The sequence below is a fragment of the Homo sapiens genome, chromosome 14 (genome assembly GCF_000001405.40).
Source record: "Homo sapiens chromosome 14, GRCh38.p14 Primary Assembly".
NCBI lineage: Eukaryota > Metazoa > Chordata > Mammalia > Primates > Hominidae > Homo > Homo sapiens.
In genome coordinates this window covers 51,765,614-51,783,923 of record NC_000014.9, presented here as the reverse complement: position 1 = coordinate 51,783,923, position 18,310 = coordinate 51,765,614, and the positions used below count along the sequence as shown (strand labels likewise).

The window sequence follows — 18,310 nt, the reverse complement described above, 5'->3', positions numbered from 1 at the left end:
TCTTCTCCAAATGAGTAAATTTGCCATGAGATCACATTTTTTGTGGCTTTACACAATAAAGAATTGAACAAAAGTAAGATTTGATCTATGAGAATCAAAACTTGAGAATTTTTAAATTGGTGTGTAGTAACCCAGTGTTATTAGGGGTTAGGGATCAGTGTTTTAAGCATTTGTTGAAGGCTGGTGTCACTTAACTTTTTATAAAATCTTTTTCTTTGTTTAAAGGTGAGACTCGACCCTTCTTTTCCCACGTGAGGCTTCTTATGGAAAGAGCACAGGTATCTGGGGTCTAAAGGCCTTGGTTAGTCTGCTATTTCCAGCCAAGATGGAATAACAGGAATGGGATTTAAAATTCCTACCTGAAACAACCACAAAACTAGGGGTAAAAAAAATGAAAGAATGTTTTTCAAAACATGGAAAATAGGAAACAGTTCTGTGACACTTGAGAGATGGTAAAAAAAATGAGGTGAGCCTTACAATCTGTAGAGTCAGTGCGATTCTAAGTAAAATCTCAGAAATTTTTAAATAGAAATTGACAAGATTTGTACAGAAATGCAAAGGACCAAAAATAGTCAAAACAACTTTGAAAAAGAACAGCAAATTTGGAGGGCTTATCTACCTGATTTCAAAACTACTTATTATAATGCTATAGTAATCAGTATGGTATCGGCATAAAAATAAACAAATAGATCAATGGAACAGAATAGAGATTATAATAATGGAGTTACATATATCTGGTCAATTGACAGTTAACAACGGTGCAAAGGAAATTCAGGGGAGAAAGGATAGTCTTTTCAATAAGGGGTGCTGAAAAAAATAGATATCCGTTTGCAAAAAAAGTAAATAAATTTTAAAAACTCCAATACACATCTCACATCATATAAAAAATTAATCAGAATAAATCATAGACCTAAAAGCAAAACCAAAACTACAAAACCTTTAGAAGAGCATATAGGAGAAAATCCCTATGACCTTGGGTTACAAAGACTTGTTAGATACAGAACTAAAAACATGATCTAAAAAAATTTTTTGGTAAATTGGACATCATTAAAATTTGAAACGTCCATCCTCAAAAGACATTATTAAAAGAATGAAAAGGAAATCTACAGAATGAGAAGAAATATTTGAAAAATCACATATCCGATAAAATATTTATATATGAATATATAAGGAATTCACAAAACTCAATAATATGCCAACGAACAACCCAATTTTTGTAAGTGGGCAAAAGATCTGAACAGACACTTCACTAAAGAAGATATTTGAATGACTAATAGGCACATGAAAATATGTTCAACATCATTAGTCATTATGGAAATGCAAATTAAAATCACAATGAGATGTTACTACCTATTACAGTGTCCAAAATGGAAAAGACTAACCATACCAAGTATTGGCAAGGATGTGGAGTATCCACGTATGAAATTCTCATACATGCTGGTATGACCATTTCGGGAAGACAGTTTAGCTGTTTGTGAAAAATCTAAACATATACTGATCAAATAATGCAGACATTCCATTTTTAGATTTTTACCCCAAAGAAATGAAAACTTAGGTCTGCTGCAAATATTTTCACGTCAGTGTTTATAGAAGCTTTATTCATTATAGCCCCAAAGTAGAAATAATCTAAATGTCCATCATCAAAAGAATGAATAGTGGCATACCCATCTAAAGACACATTCCCTAACAATAAAATGGAATAATACACAAAACAACAGGAATGAATCTCATGATAATTATGCCAATAACGCTAGACAAAAAAGCATATACACTATATGTTTCCATTTATGTAAAATTTGTATAAAATGAAAACTATAGTGACAGCAGATCAACGGTTGCCTGGGGATGGCAGTGTGGGGGTGGAGACTGGGGGATTCCAAAGGGGCATGAGGAAATGGATGGGATAAAGGATATGTTCATTATCTTGATTGTGGTACTGGTCTCATGGGTTTATACTGTCAAACTGATCAAAGATCAAATTTTGTATTTTAAATATGTGCATGCAGTCTATTGTATGTCAATCATACTTCAATAAAGTTGTTTAAGAAAAAGGCCTGTCTTCAAGTCACAGTTGTGTAATCTCAAACAAGTGTTTTCACCTCTCTGCACCTGAATTCCCTCAAGGGTCAAATGAGGAGAATAACACACACCTCACAAGGTTGCTGTGCCGGGCGAGATTCTGTAGCAACAGCCCTGAAAAAAGCACTAAATCAACGCCATGGAGAGCATCTTGTCTTCCCTGTAAGGAAGTTAATTTTCCGATTGATCCCTCAGCAGAATGGCAGTGTTCCCTCTCTAGGTCGTCCCTTTTATCTTCAGAAATCAAAGAACATGACTTTTGAAGCTAGAGTCGTTAGATCTCTTAAATGCCTTTAGAAACAACGTTAGATGGGGAAAAATGAGAACACACAGGAAATTAAAAAGCAACAGCATAAGCATCTGCAGCTTTGTTGAGCACTTGTGAAAATTGGGCTTGCCCTACCATCAAAGGACACAATAAATTTAAGCCATCTGACCTATGTGTAACCCCTGCACACACACAAATGAATATATGTATCATATTCATATGATACACAATTATGAAAGGAAAATAAATTTAAAAAAAATAAACCACAGCCAGGCACGGTGGCTGATGCCTGTAATCCCAGCACTTTGGGAGGCCGAGGCGGACGGATCACGAGGTCAGGAGTTCAAGACCAGCCTGGCCAACATAGTGAAACCCCGTCTCCACTAAAAATACAAAAATTAGCCAGGCATGGTGGTGCATGCCTGTAGTCCCAGCTACTCCGGAGGCTGAGGCAGAAGAATCGCTTGAACCTGGGAGGTGGAGATTGCAGTGAGCCAAGATTGCCCCTCTACATTCCAGTTTGGGCAACAGAGTGAGACTTCGTCTCAAATAAATAACAAATAAATAAACCGCATATGCTTTAGAGTCAGACTTTGAATCAGATCCTGACTCACTGGCTCCGTGACACCTTGGACAGCTCCCTCAATCGTGCTAAGCCTCAGTTTTCTCACTTGTAGAACACTATCCTGGAGTAAGAAACTGGAAAAACAAACAAACAAACAAACAAAACCATGTAAAATACCTAGGACAGTATCTGGCACAGGATGGAGCTCAGTGAAACAGCTTCCCTAAGGTAACACACCAGACTGATCACACTTGAATTCAAACCTCCTGGTCCCAGGTCAATAATTTTTCTATTATCCTCTGTTGCTAGTTTACCTGGGTAGTCTGTGGCAGAGGGGCAATTAGATACCGGGTGTCTTAACTCTCAGTCTGGTGTTGTTGCCATTGCACAAGGTCATTTTTAAGAAATCACCACTAATGAGAATCTATTAATTAGGGGGAAAACGGCACCTAGAGATGGAATCATACTGGTTGAGGGACCAGGGAAAATCCCTTTGGATCCTATTCCAATGCTACTAATTACTACCAGGTCAGTCCCCAGTGTGACACCTGTCCTTCCACTGGTCATTCCCTGTTTGCCATTGTCCCTGCAGCGGAACCCTTTCCAGAGCTTTCTACCTGGAAGCCGCATCACCCCCGCCACTCGCGCCCCTCGCCTCCGCCACCCCAGCACTGGACTGGGCGGGATGTTGGGAGTACATAATTGTTGTTGTGGCGGCTCTCAACCACAAGATGGCAGCACATGACTCTCTTTCAGAAAAGAAACCTGCAGCAGGGGAATTTTGCAACCTGGCACGTTTCAATTAAGATGAAAATATATTTTTAGAAGTTGCCTCCGTCACCCTTCAAATGGTAAGCATAAACCAAAGAACACAAAAGGAGACTGCTAAGGCATGAGGATTAGGGATGAAGGGAAGACTAAAGTAGACAGTCCCTGTAGAGGTGCTTGGAAGCTGTAGGATTTGCCTTCTTGGTGTTTGCACTAGGTCTTGTTGCTGCTCTCTTCTTTGTTCACATTCTTGCCAGAGCTCATAACTCCAAAATTAACTATCCTAGGGGTCTCTGTCCTTGATCGAGTCTATCTGAGCCTTGACCAGGCTTTAAAATTCTGAATTCCTCTATTTCCATTAAGATGTGAGTGTATTCCTTATTTCTTTTCCCATAATATCAAGGGCACGGGGTTTTTTTTGTTGTTGATGTTGTTGTTTTTTACATTTCTCTGCCTGTTCTCTGCTGCTGCACGTCCACTTCAGACATCATTTATTGTTGTGATTATGCCGGTATCAGGAGATGGAGTGGATTTCAATCTCCATCCCACCTCAGACACACCAAGGTCTGAGCTAAAGTAGTCCTAGCTACCTCAGCACCTCGGCCCCAGGTAGCCCTCTGCGGATGGGTTCTCATCTTCTTTCCAAGTTCTTCCTTCTCACCTGGAATGTAAACACCTGTGAAGGGCAGAGTGTGGCACCTAGGGCATTTTAAACTCCTCCTTGGGAGCTCATAAATCCTTTTTTTTTTTTTTTTTTTTTTTTGAGATGGAGTCTCACTCTGTTACCCAGGCTGGAGTGCAGTGGTGTGATCTCGGCTCAATGCAACCTCCGCCTCCTGGGTTCAAGCAATTCTCCTTCCTCAGCCTCCCGAGTAGCTAGGATTGCAGGCATGAACCACCATGTCTGGCTAATTTATTATTATTATTTTTTAGTAGAGATGGGGTTTCGCCATGTTGGCCAGGCTGGTTTCGAACTCCTGACCTAAGGGGATCTGCCCGCCTTGGCCTCCCAAAGTGCTGGGATTACAGACGTGCACCAACACACTTCGCTGATTTTTGTATTTTTAGTAAAGACGGGGTTTTACCATGTTGGCCAGGCTGGTCTCAAACTTCCAACCTCAAGTGATCCACCAGCTTGGCCTCCCAAATGCTGGGATTTCATAAACCTCATGTTTCAAGCAAGAGAATATTTTGATTACCTAAAGTAATTAGAAGCCCTGCGCTTAAATTGGGAATCATCATCTTTCCTATTAGGTCTTGAGGAAATGTGATACAGACGCATAGACAAATAATCGGAATATAAACTCCTGAGGGAGTGGAGAGAGTTGGTTAGTGATGATTCCTAATGAAGAAGTGAGCAGGGGTTAGCTAGGCTTATCTGGAGGCGGGGCGCTGGGGTGAGGAAAGGCATTCTCTTTAGAGAGCAGTACCTAAGGGGTGGAAGTGAGAAACAGCAAAATGCAAGCAAGCAACCATGGGCAGCTCTGTCCTGTGAGAGAGTAAAGCACGGAGAGTCAGTAATGGATAGGCTCTTGCCATAGGCAGTATAGATCATAGGGTGCCTTTGTATAGATCATAGGGTGCCTTGTACGCCATACAAAAGGGCTGGGTCTCCTGCTCTAGGTGGTGGATGGTCGCTCAAGGGTTTGATGAAGACAGTTCATATTTCAAATAGATTGCTGAACCCTTAAGGTGGAGGAGATATTTAGGAAGGCTATTCCTGTAAGTAGGGACCCAATGGGGGCATGGTTGCAGTAATGCAGGAAAGAGACAAAAGGGGTCAGAGTCGGGATATGGGACAAGATACAGAGGGGCATTTAGGAGCCCACTCAGGAAGACCCCATCAACTGGTTGGATGTAAAGCTGAGGAAGTAGAGACGGGTACAGCGATTACATTCTGTAATGTAATGGGCGCTGGATGGGAAGAGGAGAGAGGTGGGTGATGGGGTGGGGCTGGTGAAGTGGAGCTAGTGGGGTGGGGACTAGGTAGGGCTGAGCTGGGTATGGGGAAAAGGAAGCTCTTGTTTTGTTGTATTTTGGGGATTGTTTAGAACAGGAGGGCGCTTGACACATTTAGGGACTGAGCGGGGAAGAAACAAGTAGAGTGTGATAAATTGAAGGTGCAGGAGAAAGATGAAGAGGCACGATCCTAAGAGGACTGGAGGAGGCTCAGGTGAGGAGCATGGGCTTTGCAGGAGGGTGTGTGTCTTTTTCCCTGAGACTGGAGGGAAGACCATCAGGCTGGGTGGATGGGCAGAGATGACTTTGTTAAGTGAGAGGGCAGGAAGTGGACTCTGCAAAAGAGCAGCAGAAAAAAGATTAGAGGTGGGAGATCTTGGAGAACCGTGTAGCCTGGTGGCCACCAGCACAGGCTCTGGAGTCAGGCTGACTTAGATTGCAGTGCCAGCTCCACCACTTACTGGCCATTTGGCCTTGGGCAAACTCTCTGATCTTTCTAAGGACTCAGTTTCCTTATAAAAGGGGATGATAAGACCTCCCTCATAGGATTATTGCGAGAACGAAATGAGATTCCATGCATTCTCTGAAGGAGATTGACAATGATGAAGACCATGCAGCAAATCGAGGAGCTAAATATGCCAGACAGATTTCATGGTCTAAACAGTTTATATGTCTTTTGATTGCCTCCCACAAGACTGAAAATAACTTGGGGGTAGGGGTCATATGTCTTGCTTTTCTTGGTCTTCCTGGCATTCAGTGCAATGCCTGCTTCATCAAGGGCTCTCAGTCAAGTTTGTTAAATGACTGAATAAATCAATTGCCCAGTCAACCCAACCATAGCTCCAGCTTCCAACTGCCAGACTGTGCACTTCCCATTCTACCGCACTACCTTTCTTGGTCCAGCCTTAACGTCTCTGTTTACCAACATTGTTACACTATTTGTGATTACTAAAGAGTAACAGTTCCTTGAATTGGGCACTATATTTTGGTTCTGGAAATGCAAAAGCACATTATTGTTTATCATGGAAGTCAGGTGATCTAGTTCTGCTAGTTAATTGACTAATTAACTACTAATTAATTAGCTAATAATTAAGTTAATTAATTCCTAAGAATTAAAAAGGAAAGGAGAGGGCGATTTATTGCCAGAGAGGCTTCTCTAAGTGTTTTTATGGCCACTTTCATCCTGTGTGTGACTGAGCTTTAGCACGTTGACCAGGTTAAGGATCTGGATGCCAGAAAAGCCACACCTGGGCCTGGTGGGGCAGAGAAAGGGCTGCTGCAGCCATGGAGCCAGCGCTCTCAGGCCTCAGCGGTTTCAGGTGCCCCAGCCAAGTGAGAGGCAGAGTGGGCGCTTGGCCGCTGAGAGAAGGTCAAGACATGAATAATGGAGGCCACAGGCACACCTTCCAGAGCTGTGTCTGCTTGCTAGGCTTTTCAACCTTGGCCACCCCACCTTTAAAAAAAAAGAAAACCTTTAAAAACATGAAAAGACCCAACATCTCCTTCCTTGCCCATCTCTCTCTCTCTCCTCTGCCCCCTCAGATGAAAGGCAGCAATGCAGCTAAAATGTTCCCACAAACGTTCAGGTACAGGGGAGCTGTCAAGATCAGCGTGCCACGGAGGCAAAACAAGGAACTTGGAAGAGCCATAAACTGCACACCACCCCCTCCTCAAATAACCCCAGGCTTAGCAAAGGAGCCTCTGCAAGCAGAGATGGAGTTTGTAAGGATTAAATTTCCTCCTCCCACAAGCCCCCAATTGCAAAAAGCCAAACTTTCTGGGTTCTTCCTACCAAACGACTCCCTTCTGACCACCAGAGGTCAGGCTGCAGTTAGGAACAGGCAGTAGGTCCCCAAAGGAGAGATCTGACCTAGTTCCTCCCAGGCCCTCCGGGGCACGTCTGGAGCTCCCCCAGACTCACCCAAGCTCGCCCAGCAGGGGCCTGTGGATTCCTTTCTCCTCTGTAATGGACAGGGGCAGGCACACCAGAAGCTGCCTGGAGTGTGATAAACCGAAGGTACGAAGAAAGATGAAGAGACAACATTTAAGAGGGCTGGAGGAGGCGCAGCGGAGGAGAATGAGCCTCCTGAATGAGTCATCCCCCACTTCAACTTATTAGGTTTGAGAACCACTCACCTAAGAATCCCGCGAAGCAGGGAGCTGATTAAAAAGCAGATTTGGCTGGGCACGGTGGCTCACGCCTGTAATCTCAGCACTTTGGGAGGCCGAGACGGGTGGATCACGAGGTCGGGAGATCGAGACCATCCTGGCTAACACGGTGAAACCCCATCTCTACTAAAAATACAAAAAAATTGGCCAGGCGTGGCGGCGGGCGCCTGTAGCTCCAGCTACTCGGGAGGCTGAGGCAGGAGAATGGCGTGAACCCGGGAGGCGGAGCTTGCAGTGAGCCGAGATGGCGCCACTGCACTCCAGCCTGGGCGACAGAGCGAGACTCCGTCTCAAAATAAATAAATAAATAAATAAATAAATAAATAAATAAATAAATAAATTAAAAAGCAGATTCCTGGGCTCTGTTTGTGAAGGCCAGTTCTGCAGGTTGGGAATTGGGCCCAATGCCCTGCGTTTTATGCAAGCTCTTTGAGAGGTCCTGACGTTGGTGGTGCACTGCTGTACTTTGAGCAGATAATGCTTTAAGCAGTTGCTCAAACCTGGGGGCAGTCGCTAAGCACAGACTTTGGTTTTGTGCAATACCTGAGACTCAAGCAGGCAGATGGGATTAGGCCTACGTACCCTGCTACCTCAGGCCTGTAGGCCATTGAATGCATGCTTGCTGGAACACCTGAAGTGAGGCAGCTACTCCTGGCCCCATCCACTCCCAAGCTGGGAGGAAGGAAAATTCGTACTGCTCTGTGCAGGATGAAGACCATTGCAGGCTGGCCTGCCATCTCCGGATGCCTTCCTACTCCACGTTCCTTCTCATCATTTCTGAGCACTGGTTTCCTTATTCTGTCCCCTTTGATGTGCCTCCATCCTCCTCATTGCTCAGAAAAAGCATCCTGGATTTAGAGGTAGTTAAGCTCCCTTCCCAGGATAATCCTTGCTTGTTGTCCTTCCTTGGTGCTAAGACACAATCTACCACATGAGCACCTCGATGTACTAGGAACTTTTCAGAGAGGAGTGGGAATGAAATATGACATTAAATATCCATATCCAATGGAAGATGCAGCCCCCTTCCAGAATCGATAAAAAGTGCATTTTAGCGTTGAGGAAGTTTTCTCTCCTTTTCTAATGATCCAGTGTTACTGTATTCATTCGACCCCAATTCATTGAGTGCCTGCTGAGCCAAGGACCTGCCGTAAGTGCTAGCGTATGTTAAGCTAGATTAAGCTAGATGGACAAGGGTCTCACCTTCACAGGTCCACATTATGGTATAGGACGCAGGCAAAGAATAATCAATAAGTGAATTAGTGAATCAGAGTTGTGATTGCTGGTATTAACAAATAAACAGGGTTCTGTGATAGAGACACAGTGGAGAACCAATTTTGGAATGAGTGGTCATGGAAGAACTTTCTGGGGAGGGGAGGTGGAGCTGAGGTCAGAATGAAGAGTACAGGTAAGGCACCCCGCGATGTGGGGAGTAAGAGCCACCCCCTCGCCCCCCCCCCCGGCTCTTACGTTCCACATGGCAGGGGGGTGAGTCACCCCCCGCGATGTGGGGAGTAAGAGCCACCCCCTTGCCCCCCATGGCTCTCATGAACCACATGGCAGGGGGGTGAGTCGCCCCTCGCGATGTGGGGAGTAAGAGCCACCCCCTCGCCCCCCCTGGCTCTCAAGACGCACATGGCAGGGGGGTGAGGCACTCCCTGCGGTGTGGGGAGTAAAAGCCACGCCCTCGCCGCCCCTGGCTCTCATGACCCAGATGGCAGGGGGATGAGGCCCCCCCGCGATGTGGGGAGTAAGAGCCACGCCCTCGCCGCCCCTGGTTTTTACGATCCACGGTGGACCCACAGCCTGTTTACGATATTGTGAGTAATATCATCTCCCCCTCTGGAAATTATGAAGTATTTCACAGACGGGTGTACACCCGTCTGCATTGGGAGTAATATCATCCTCTTTCTCCCTGAATATGAAGAACAGTATCACAGGGGTGTTTCTACTCCCTGCGATATTGGGTGTCATATCCTCTCCCACGCGGAAATTAGAAACAATATCAGTGGGGGCGTGTCCACCTTCTGTGATATTTAAAGTAATATCATCCTCTTCCCTCCAGGATCATGGGAACAATATCCCTGGGGGTCGTACACTTTCTGCGATATATGAAGTAAGATCACCCTCTCCGCCTTGGAATATTATTAAGGACCATCTCACACAGGGTTGTACACTTCCTGCGATATTGGGAGTAATATCAACCTCTTGGCCTCTGAATATTAGGAAGAATATCACAGGGTGGGTGTACACCTCCTGCTCTATTATGGGGAGTAATATCTATCTATTATGGGGAGTAATATCATCCTCTCCCTTTGAGGATATTAATAACAATATCACAGGGTGAGTGAACACAGCCTGCGATGCTGGAATTATCCTCTCTCCCTCGGGATACTAGGAACAATATCACAGAAGAGGTGTACACTCCCTGTGATATTGGGAGTAATATCATACGCTTCTTCCGTGAATATTAGGAGCAATATCACCGGGTGGCTGTACATTCATTGCTATGTTGGGAGTCATGTCATACTCTACCCCCTGGATATTAGGATCGGTGTCACAGGGTGAGTGTACACCTACTGCGATATGAAAACTAATATCATGCTCTCCATCCCTGGATATTAGGAAAAATATCACAGGTAGGTGTACACCCCCTGCGGTATTAGCAGTAATATTATGAATTATTAAACATCGGTCTTATTAATAATTGTCAATGGTAATATTAATTAACAGTATAACATTATTAATCATTAATGATTATTTTCAAGATATGATTATGCATGATTAAAATTAAATATTAATATTAATGTCACTTTTAATATTAGTTATTAATCTTAATAGTAATTATTGTTTTATTACCAACATCAATTATGATTGATTGAAGTAACATTAGTGATATCATTATTTTATTATTAATAGTGATATTGCTATTAATTATTAATAGTAACCGTTAATATTTTTCATCCTTACTAAGTTTTACTGTCTCTACTGTAATTATTAATATCGGTGATTACTATTAATTGTTATTATATTTATTAATATTAATAATTACTATAACTTCCCGATATCCGTAGGGGAGAGGATAGTACTCCCAATATCGCAGAAAGTGTACACCCCTCTACGATGTTACTCCTAATAGTCAGGGGGTAGAGGATGACATTATTGAAAATAGCGCAGTGGGTGTACATCCCTTCGGTCATCTTGTTCCTAATATCCTGGGTGGGAGCGGATGATAGGACTCCCAATATCACAGGGGGTGGAGACCTCCCCGTGATACCGTCCCTAACATCCAAAGGTGGAGAGGATGATATTTCTTCCAATTTCGCCGGGGGTGCACACCACCCTTGTGATATTGATCCTAATCTCCAGGCGGCGAGAGGATGATATTAGTCTGAATACTGCAGGAGGTGTACACTCCCTAGGGATATTGTTCCTAATATCCAGAGACGGAGAGGATGATATCACTCCCAATATAGCAGGGGGTGTACACCCCTTGTGTGACATTGCTCCTAAAGGGCAGCGAGGGAGAGGAAGATATTACAGCCAATATCGCAGGGGGTGTACACTCCCTTGTGACATTCTTCCTTATATCCTGGGAGGGAGAGGAAGATACTAGCAGCAATGTCGCAGGGGCTGTACACACCCACTGTGATATTGTTCCGAATATCCCGAGGGGGAGAAAATGATGTTACTTCCAATATCTCAGGGGGTGTACATCCTCCTGTGATATTGTTTCTTATATTCAGGGGGAGAGGATGATATTACTCCCATTATCGCAGGGGTTGTACATACCTCCTGCGATACGGGGAGTAAGAGCCAGCCCCTTTTCCCCCCTGGCTCTTAGGAGCCCCATCACAGGGCGGTGAGCCCCCCCCCGCCCCTCAGTACGAGGCGTAAGAGCCAGCTCCTATCCCCCCCTGGCTCTTAGGACCCCCATCACAAGGGGGTGAGGCCCCCGCGATGCGGGGAGTCATATCACCCCCCTCTCCCCCCTGGATATGACGATCCACATCGCAGTGGGGCGGGCGCCCCTCCATTCTAAGGATTTCATCGTCAGATGGGAAGTATAAAGCCTTCGCTACCTGTGGCTCTCACCTGGCAGTTGTTTGCTTATTTTATGGACAGACATTGGCGTGTACCTGACTTCAGCTGTGGCAGCACCCCCCAGGAATGGTGTCGTGGCGTCAGTGATGTACGCTGTGGTCACCCCCATGCTGAACCTTTTCATCTACAGCCAGAGAAACAGGGACATTCAAAGCGCCCTGCGGAGGCTGCGCAGCAGAACAGTCGAATCTCATGATCTCTTGCATCCTTTTTCTTGTGTGGGTAAGAAAGGGCAACCACATTACATACCTACATCTGCAAATCCTGCCCCTTAGTCACATTATTTTTGTGGCGTGATGGCTTTTATTCCTTTCCGCATTTCCTTTGTGAATATTGCTTTCTTCGTTATGCCTTTAACTGGAATGGGTGAGTATTCTGGGATCCTTTGTTTAGCAGAAACCTCATGACTGAATCCTCTATACCTAGGCGGCCTCCTTTAGTTTCTGAGCAATAACCCTGTCATCCAGGTGGAATCACAACCATCTTTTTATATACGTGAAGTCCTCACTTCATTTTGGAATTCCCTGAAAATTGACTTTATGGAAACAATGTACAGCAGGTCCTCCAACACCATTTGTGCGTTCAAAGTTGTGTAGTTATAATGTTGGTGAGGAATAAGTGGTTTCACTTAACCTAATTTTGCTTCAAGGTGAAGTTTCCAAGAGACTTTCAAAGATGTTAAGTGAGGACATACTGTACATCAAATTCATATCCTCTTCCACAGTTCATGTGGAATTTCTTTATAAACTGCTTCTAGAGAATCTATTTAGGCAGGTTATGTGTAAGATCCATGTCACCGGTCCTCAATCTTGGCTTTGAGTCAAATCACCTGGCGAGCTTACAAATGATGAGGCCTAGGTCTCAATACCTGAGATTCTGATTTCCTTGCACCTGTGTGAGTATGTGGATTTTTTTTTTTTTTTTTTTAAGTACAAGAGGTGGTTGCAGTGACGAAGTTTTCAGAGGCATCAAGCTCCAATGAGTAAGAACAGAAGTTAATTGTAATATGATTTCTTCAAATATTATCTTCAAATGCATTGTCCATCAACACCATACAAATGTTTATTATGCTGTTGTTTCTTACCATTTAGCATTTTCTATTTTTTTCTTTTTCTTTTTTTTTTTTTTTTTTCTTTTTGAGGCAGAGTTTCACTCTTGTTGCCCAGGCTGGAGTGCAATGGCACGATCTCGGCTCACTACAACCTCTGCCTCCCGTATTCAAGCGATTCTCCTGTCTCAGCCTTCCAAGTAGCTGGGATTACAGGCATGTGCTACCATGCCCCGCTAATTTTTTCTTTTTCTTTTTTTTTTTTTTTTGGTATTTTTAGTACAGACAGTGGTTCTGCATATTGGTCAGGATGGTCTTGAACTCACAGGTTCAGGTCATCCGCCCGCTTCCGCCTCCCAATATTCTGGGATTACAGGCGTGAGCAACCACACCCAGCCACCACTTAGAATTTTCATTTTACATTTGTTGAAATTATAGATTTATACACGCTTTGATTGCCGCTTTGTTATACACTTGCGTATACATAAGACGGGAAATAGAAAAGAATAAAATGGGCACAGTATCCCTCAAGTTTCACCTTCCGAGACATGTTAAAAATATTTGTTTTTTAGAAATTTGTTTCAATTGAGTAACTGTGGTATACACACACAATGAAGTATTATTCAGCCTAAAAAGGAAGAAAATCCTCTCCGCTGCAGACAAAATGGATGAGATTGCAGGTCTGTATATTAAATGAAATAAGCCAGGCACAGAATGACAAATATTTCATATCCTCACTTCTATGTAGGAACAAAAAAGAAAATCTTGGCCAGGTGTGGTGGCTCAGGCCTGTAATCCCAGCACTTTGGGAGGCCGAGTCGCACGGATCACTTGAGGCCAGGAGTTTGAGACCTGCCTCGCCAACATGGTGAAACCCTGTCTCTACTGAAAACACAAATAATTAGCCGGGCGTGGTGACGCGTGCCTGTAGTCTCAGCTTCTCGGAGGGCTGAGGCCCAAGAAGCGCTTGAACTTGGGAGGCGGAGATTGCAGTGAGCCCAGATTGTGCCTGTATACTCCAACCTGGGCAACAGAAAGAGACTCCATCACACACCTACACACAAAAGGAATCTCAGGAAGGTGGAAAGTATAAAGGTGGTTAGCAGACGCTAGGAAGAAAAGGGGTGGGATGGGGAATGAAGAGAAGTGGATAATTGGGTCCCAAAATACAGAAAGATGGAACAAGTGACTTCTAGTGTTTGAAAGCACAGTATGAAAATTTTAGTTCACAAGAATTTCTTGCATATTTCCAGATGCTTTGGTAAGAAGCTTCCTAACTGTCTCATTATGCTCGTTTTTCAGCTATTCTCTTTCTGCTCTCGAAATCATGCTGGATTTTTTGTTTTTGGTTTTTTGTTTTGAGACAGAGTTTCGCTCTTGTTTCCCAGGCTGGAGTGTAATGGTGCAATCTTGGCTCACCACAACCTCTGCCTCCTGGGTTCAAGCGATTCTCCTGCCTCCATCTCCTGAGCAGCTGGGATTACAGGCATGCCCCAGCACGCCCAGCTAATGTTGTATTTGTAGTAGAGACAGCAGTTTCTTCCTGTCTGTCAGGCTGGTCTTGAACTTCTGACCTCAGGTGATCCAAACACCTCGGCCTCCCAAAGGGCTGGGATGACAGGTGTGAGCAACCGCGCCTGGCCCATGCTGTATCCTTATCTGTTGTCTGTTGTTTATTTGTTTTTGAGCCCAGAAATAACTTCTCCCCTATATGTTCAAATGATTTTTAACATGAGTGCTAAGAAAGTCCATTGGTGGAAAAGCAGCCTTTTCAAGAAATGGTGTTGGAGAAACTTGATTTCCACATGCAGAAGAATGAAGGTGGACTCTATGTCACACCAGGTGCAAAAATTAACACAAACTGGATCAAAGACCTCACCCCAAGTGCTGAAAGTATAATATGCCTCAAAGAAAACATTGGCCACACTTTCATGACATCAGATTGGGCAATGCTTTCTGGGATACGACACCAAAAGCATAGGCAACAAAAGAAAATTAGATTCCTTGGATGACATCTAAATGACAGACACTTTTGTGCATCAGCAAACACTGTGAACTGAGTGAAAAGATAACCCATGGATTAGGAAAAAGATTTGCAAATCTTATCTCTGAAAAGAGGCTGATATGCATCATATACAAAGAACAGCTAGAACTGAACAACAAGAAACCCAAAGCACCCCATTAACAATGGTCAGAAGACTCGAGTACACGTGTCCCTAAACAAGATATAACAATGGCCAATAAGCGTCTAAAATGATGTTCAAAATCACGAACCACAGGGAAGCGCAAATCAAACCAAGAATGTGATACCACACATTAGGAGGGATATGATAAAGAAACAAGCATTGGTGAAACTAAAGGGAAGTAGGAATGCTCGAATCTGATTGGAGGGAATGTAAAACCGTGAAGGAATGGGGAAAATACTATGGCATGTACTGGAAAAAGTAGAAACAGGATTATCAGATGTTCCCACAGTTGCACTTGTGGGTACCTGCCAAAAAGAATTAGAAGCCAGGAGTGGAAGAGAGATTTGTACACCCATATTCATAGCAGCGTTACTCAAAACAGCCAAAATGTGGAAGCAACCCAAGGGTTCATGGGCAGGTGAATGAAAAAGCACAGTGCAGTTCATTCATACAACGGAAGACTATTCAGCCATAAAAATGCAGGCACTTCTGGCCGGTGCGGTGGCTCACGCCTGTAATCCCAGCATCTTGGAAGACCGAGGTGGGCGGATCACCTGAGGTCAGGAATTCAAGACCAGCCTGGCCATCTTGGTGAAACCCTGTCTCTACTGAAAATGCACAAAATTAGACGAGCGTGGTGGCGTGTGCCTATAGTCCCAGCTACTTGGGAGGCTGAGGTACAAGAATCGCTGGAACCCGGGAGGCGGAGGTTGCAGTGAGCCCAGATTGTGCCACTGCACTCCAGCCTGTGCAACAGAGTGAGACTCCATGTAAACACAAAACAAAACAAAACAAAAAAACACCCAAACAACCAGACAGGCACTTCTGACACAGGCTGCAACACGGATGAACCTTGAAGACATTCTCCTCAGTGAAATAAATAAATCCCAAAAGGATAAACATGACCAGGCTCAGTGGCTCGCACCTGTCACCCCAGCACTTTGGGAGGCCGAGGCAGGCGGATCACTTAAGGTCAGGAGTTCGAGACCAGCCTGGCCAATATGGTGAAAGCTCGTCTCTATTAAAAATACAAAAATTAGCTGGGCGTGGTGGCGCATGCCTGTAATCCCAGCTACTCGGGAGACTGAGACACAAGAATCGCTTGAACCCACGATGTGGAGGTTGCAGTCAGCCGAGACCACACCACTGCACTCCAGCCTGGGTGACAGAGAAAGACTCTGTCTCCAAAACAAACAAACCAAAAAAATTAAACACGGTATGATTCCACTTATATCACGTGTCTAGAGTAGTTAAACTTATAGAGCTGCAAAATAGAATGGTGGCCCCCAGGGGTGGGTGAGAGGGAGAGGAATGGAGAGTTTGGTTAATGGGTGCAATTTCCATTTTCAAGGATAAAACTGTTCTGGAGATGATGGCGGTGATGGTTGCTAAACAATGTGAATGTACCTAATGTGATTAAACTCTAAACTGAAAAATAGTGGAAATTATAAATGTTCATACTGGCCATTCTATATGAAATAATCTATATTTATAATTTTTAGGATTTATACGTGGTATATTTTCCCATAATAAAAGATGAAAATTAAAGCACTTGGATCTTGTAAAAGAAAAAAGCAAATAATACACACAAGCTCTCTCCTGATTAGAGGAAGAGCCCCAAAGCTTCTATGGACACTTACTTTTCTATTCTTCTTCTTGCATGATGATGAGGAAATCCTTAGAGCATGGGGAACATGGGCGACTCTGGCTAATGAGGAGCTCTGTGCCTTGAGCCCCCCAGGCCATAGAATAGGAAATACTCAGTCTGTGCCTCCAGCCCTGCAGTGTGAGGTTGCAGTCCTGTGGGCTCCACACCCGTCACCTGTATCAGGAGGCTCATGTCTCACCCTGTCTTCTTACCAGCCTTGAGGACGGAGTCTGAGCCTCCCATGTGCACCACTCAGGGAGGACAGTGGACCTGTTCTCCGTGGTCATGGCCCAGCAGAGGGGAAGGGCCGTTCAGTGAGTGCTGAGGGACGGTCGGGAGCCTTGTTTGTTTCCTCATCTTCAGGACAAACGGGAGAGTGCCGTGGGCAGATGGGAGGAGACCAATGTGCAAACTGTCAGCTCAGCAGACTGTGGAGTTTCTGTTCTTGGTTGTGGTGGGGGATCTCTCTCAGGAATCTTCTTCAAAATTTTGCTTCCCTCCCCCACTGGTTGTCCTCTTCATAGACATCTCACCCATGAGAGCAGGGAATGAGTCCCTCTAAAGTATGCCCTCAGAACAACAAAAAGATGATGAAGGTGATGATGAGGATAAAGAGGATGATGACAGACACCATGGCATCATGAACCCTTACTGAGGGCTTCCTAAAGGCCAGGCTCTGAGCTCTGTGTTCTATGCAGCTTGTTTCATTTCATCTGCATAGTCTCCCAGTTATTAGTGCACATTTCCTTATGATTTTACAGACTAGAAAAGGAGCAACACATTTTCATATAACTTGTACCAGATCACGAAGTCAAAAATGGTGAAGCCCAATTTGAACAAGGTAGTCTAAGCCAGACACATGGCATTTGGCCAGTCCTCTCCCTGCATCCAACCTGCCCCCTCCAATCCTTGTCACTCAGGCCGATGCCCCTGCTCACTGTGCCCTTCCCTTTGGGGGTTCCTTGTAGACCACAGCTAGACCAGTGGGTGCCACAATCACTGTGTCAAGTATGGAAAGGGCAGCGGAGATCACATCAAAGATTCCAGAAAGAATTGGCACAGGATCATTCGGGATGCATCTCTCCCTTGCCCCTGTTCCTGGCTTTCCTTACAGCTCTCGACTTCCTCCAAGGAGCCATCAGTTCCGGGTTTGGCTTCCATTCCTATTGAGGAAGCTGGAAACCATTTCAAAAATGCTCCTCGGATGTGCCTGTGGTTAAGACCTCTGAGCTCTGTTGAAAACTTTTGAAGCTGGGCGTGGTGGCTCACGCCTGTTATCCCAGCACTTTGGGAGGCTGAGGCAGGCAAATCACAAGGTCAGGTGTTCGAGACCAGCCTAGCCAACACGGTGAAACCCCGTCTCTCCTAAAAAGAGAAAAAAATAAGCCAGGCGTAGTGGCGGGCGCCTGAAATCTCAGCTACTCGGCAGGCTGAGGCAAGAGAATAGCTTGAACCTGGGATGCGGAGGTTGCAGTGAGCCGAGATCGCTCCACTGCACTCCAGCCTGGGAAACAGAATG

At 44.7% G+C, this 18,310-nt stretch overlaps 1 long non-coding RNA gene and 1 pseudogene across 1 annotated transcript in view, besides 2 other annotated features; one reads left to right on the top strand and one right to left on the bottom strand.

Annotated features, from left to right (window-relative positions):
* Positions 1 to 18,108, bottom strand: part of LOC101927598 (uncharacterized) — a 59,204-nt gene extending 41,096 nt beyond the window's left edge. Inside the window, exon 1 of the long non-coding RNA XR_002957605.2 lies at positions 16,784 to 18,108. This is a non-coding gene — a long non-coding RNA (uncharacterized LOC101927598). The remainder of the gene's footprint in view (positions 1 to 16,783) is intronic.
* Positions 3,835 to 3,904: an enhancer, noted in NCBI's record as "active region_8375". NCBI's record gives its function as "activates an Ori minimal core promoter by ATAC-STARR-seq in GM12878 lymphoblastoid cells {active_cell/tissue: GM12878}" and the evidence as "EXISTENCE:reporter gene assay evidence [ECO:0000049][PMID:35858748]".
* Positions 7,713 to 7,882: a silencer, noted in NCBI's record as "fragment chr14:52242760-52242929 (GRCh37/hg19 assembly coordinates)". NCBI's record gives its function as "represses an EF-1alpha promoter that drives an FKBP-Casp9 reporter gene in an ReSE screen in K562 erythroleukemia cells {active_cell/tissue: K562}" and the evidence as "EXISTENCE:reporter gene assay evidence [ECO:0000049][PMID:32094911]".
* OR7E159P (olfactory receptor family 7 subfamily E member 159 pseudogene) lies at positions 11,828 to 12,136 on the top strand (annotated as a pseudogene).
* Positions 18,109 to 18,310: the final 202 nt, after the last annotated feature.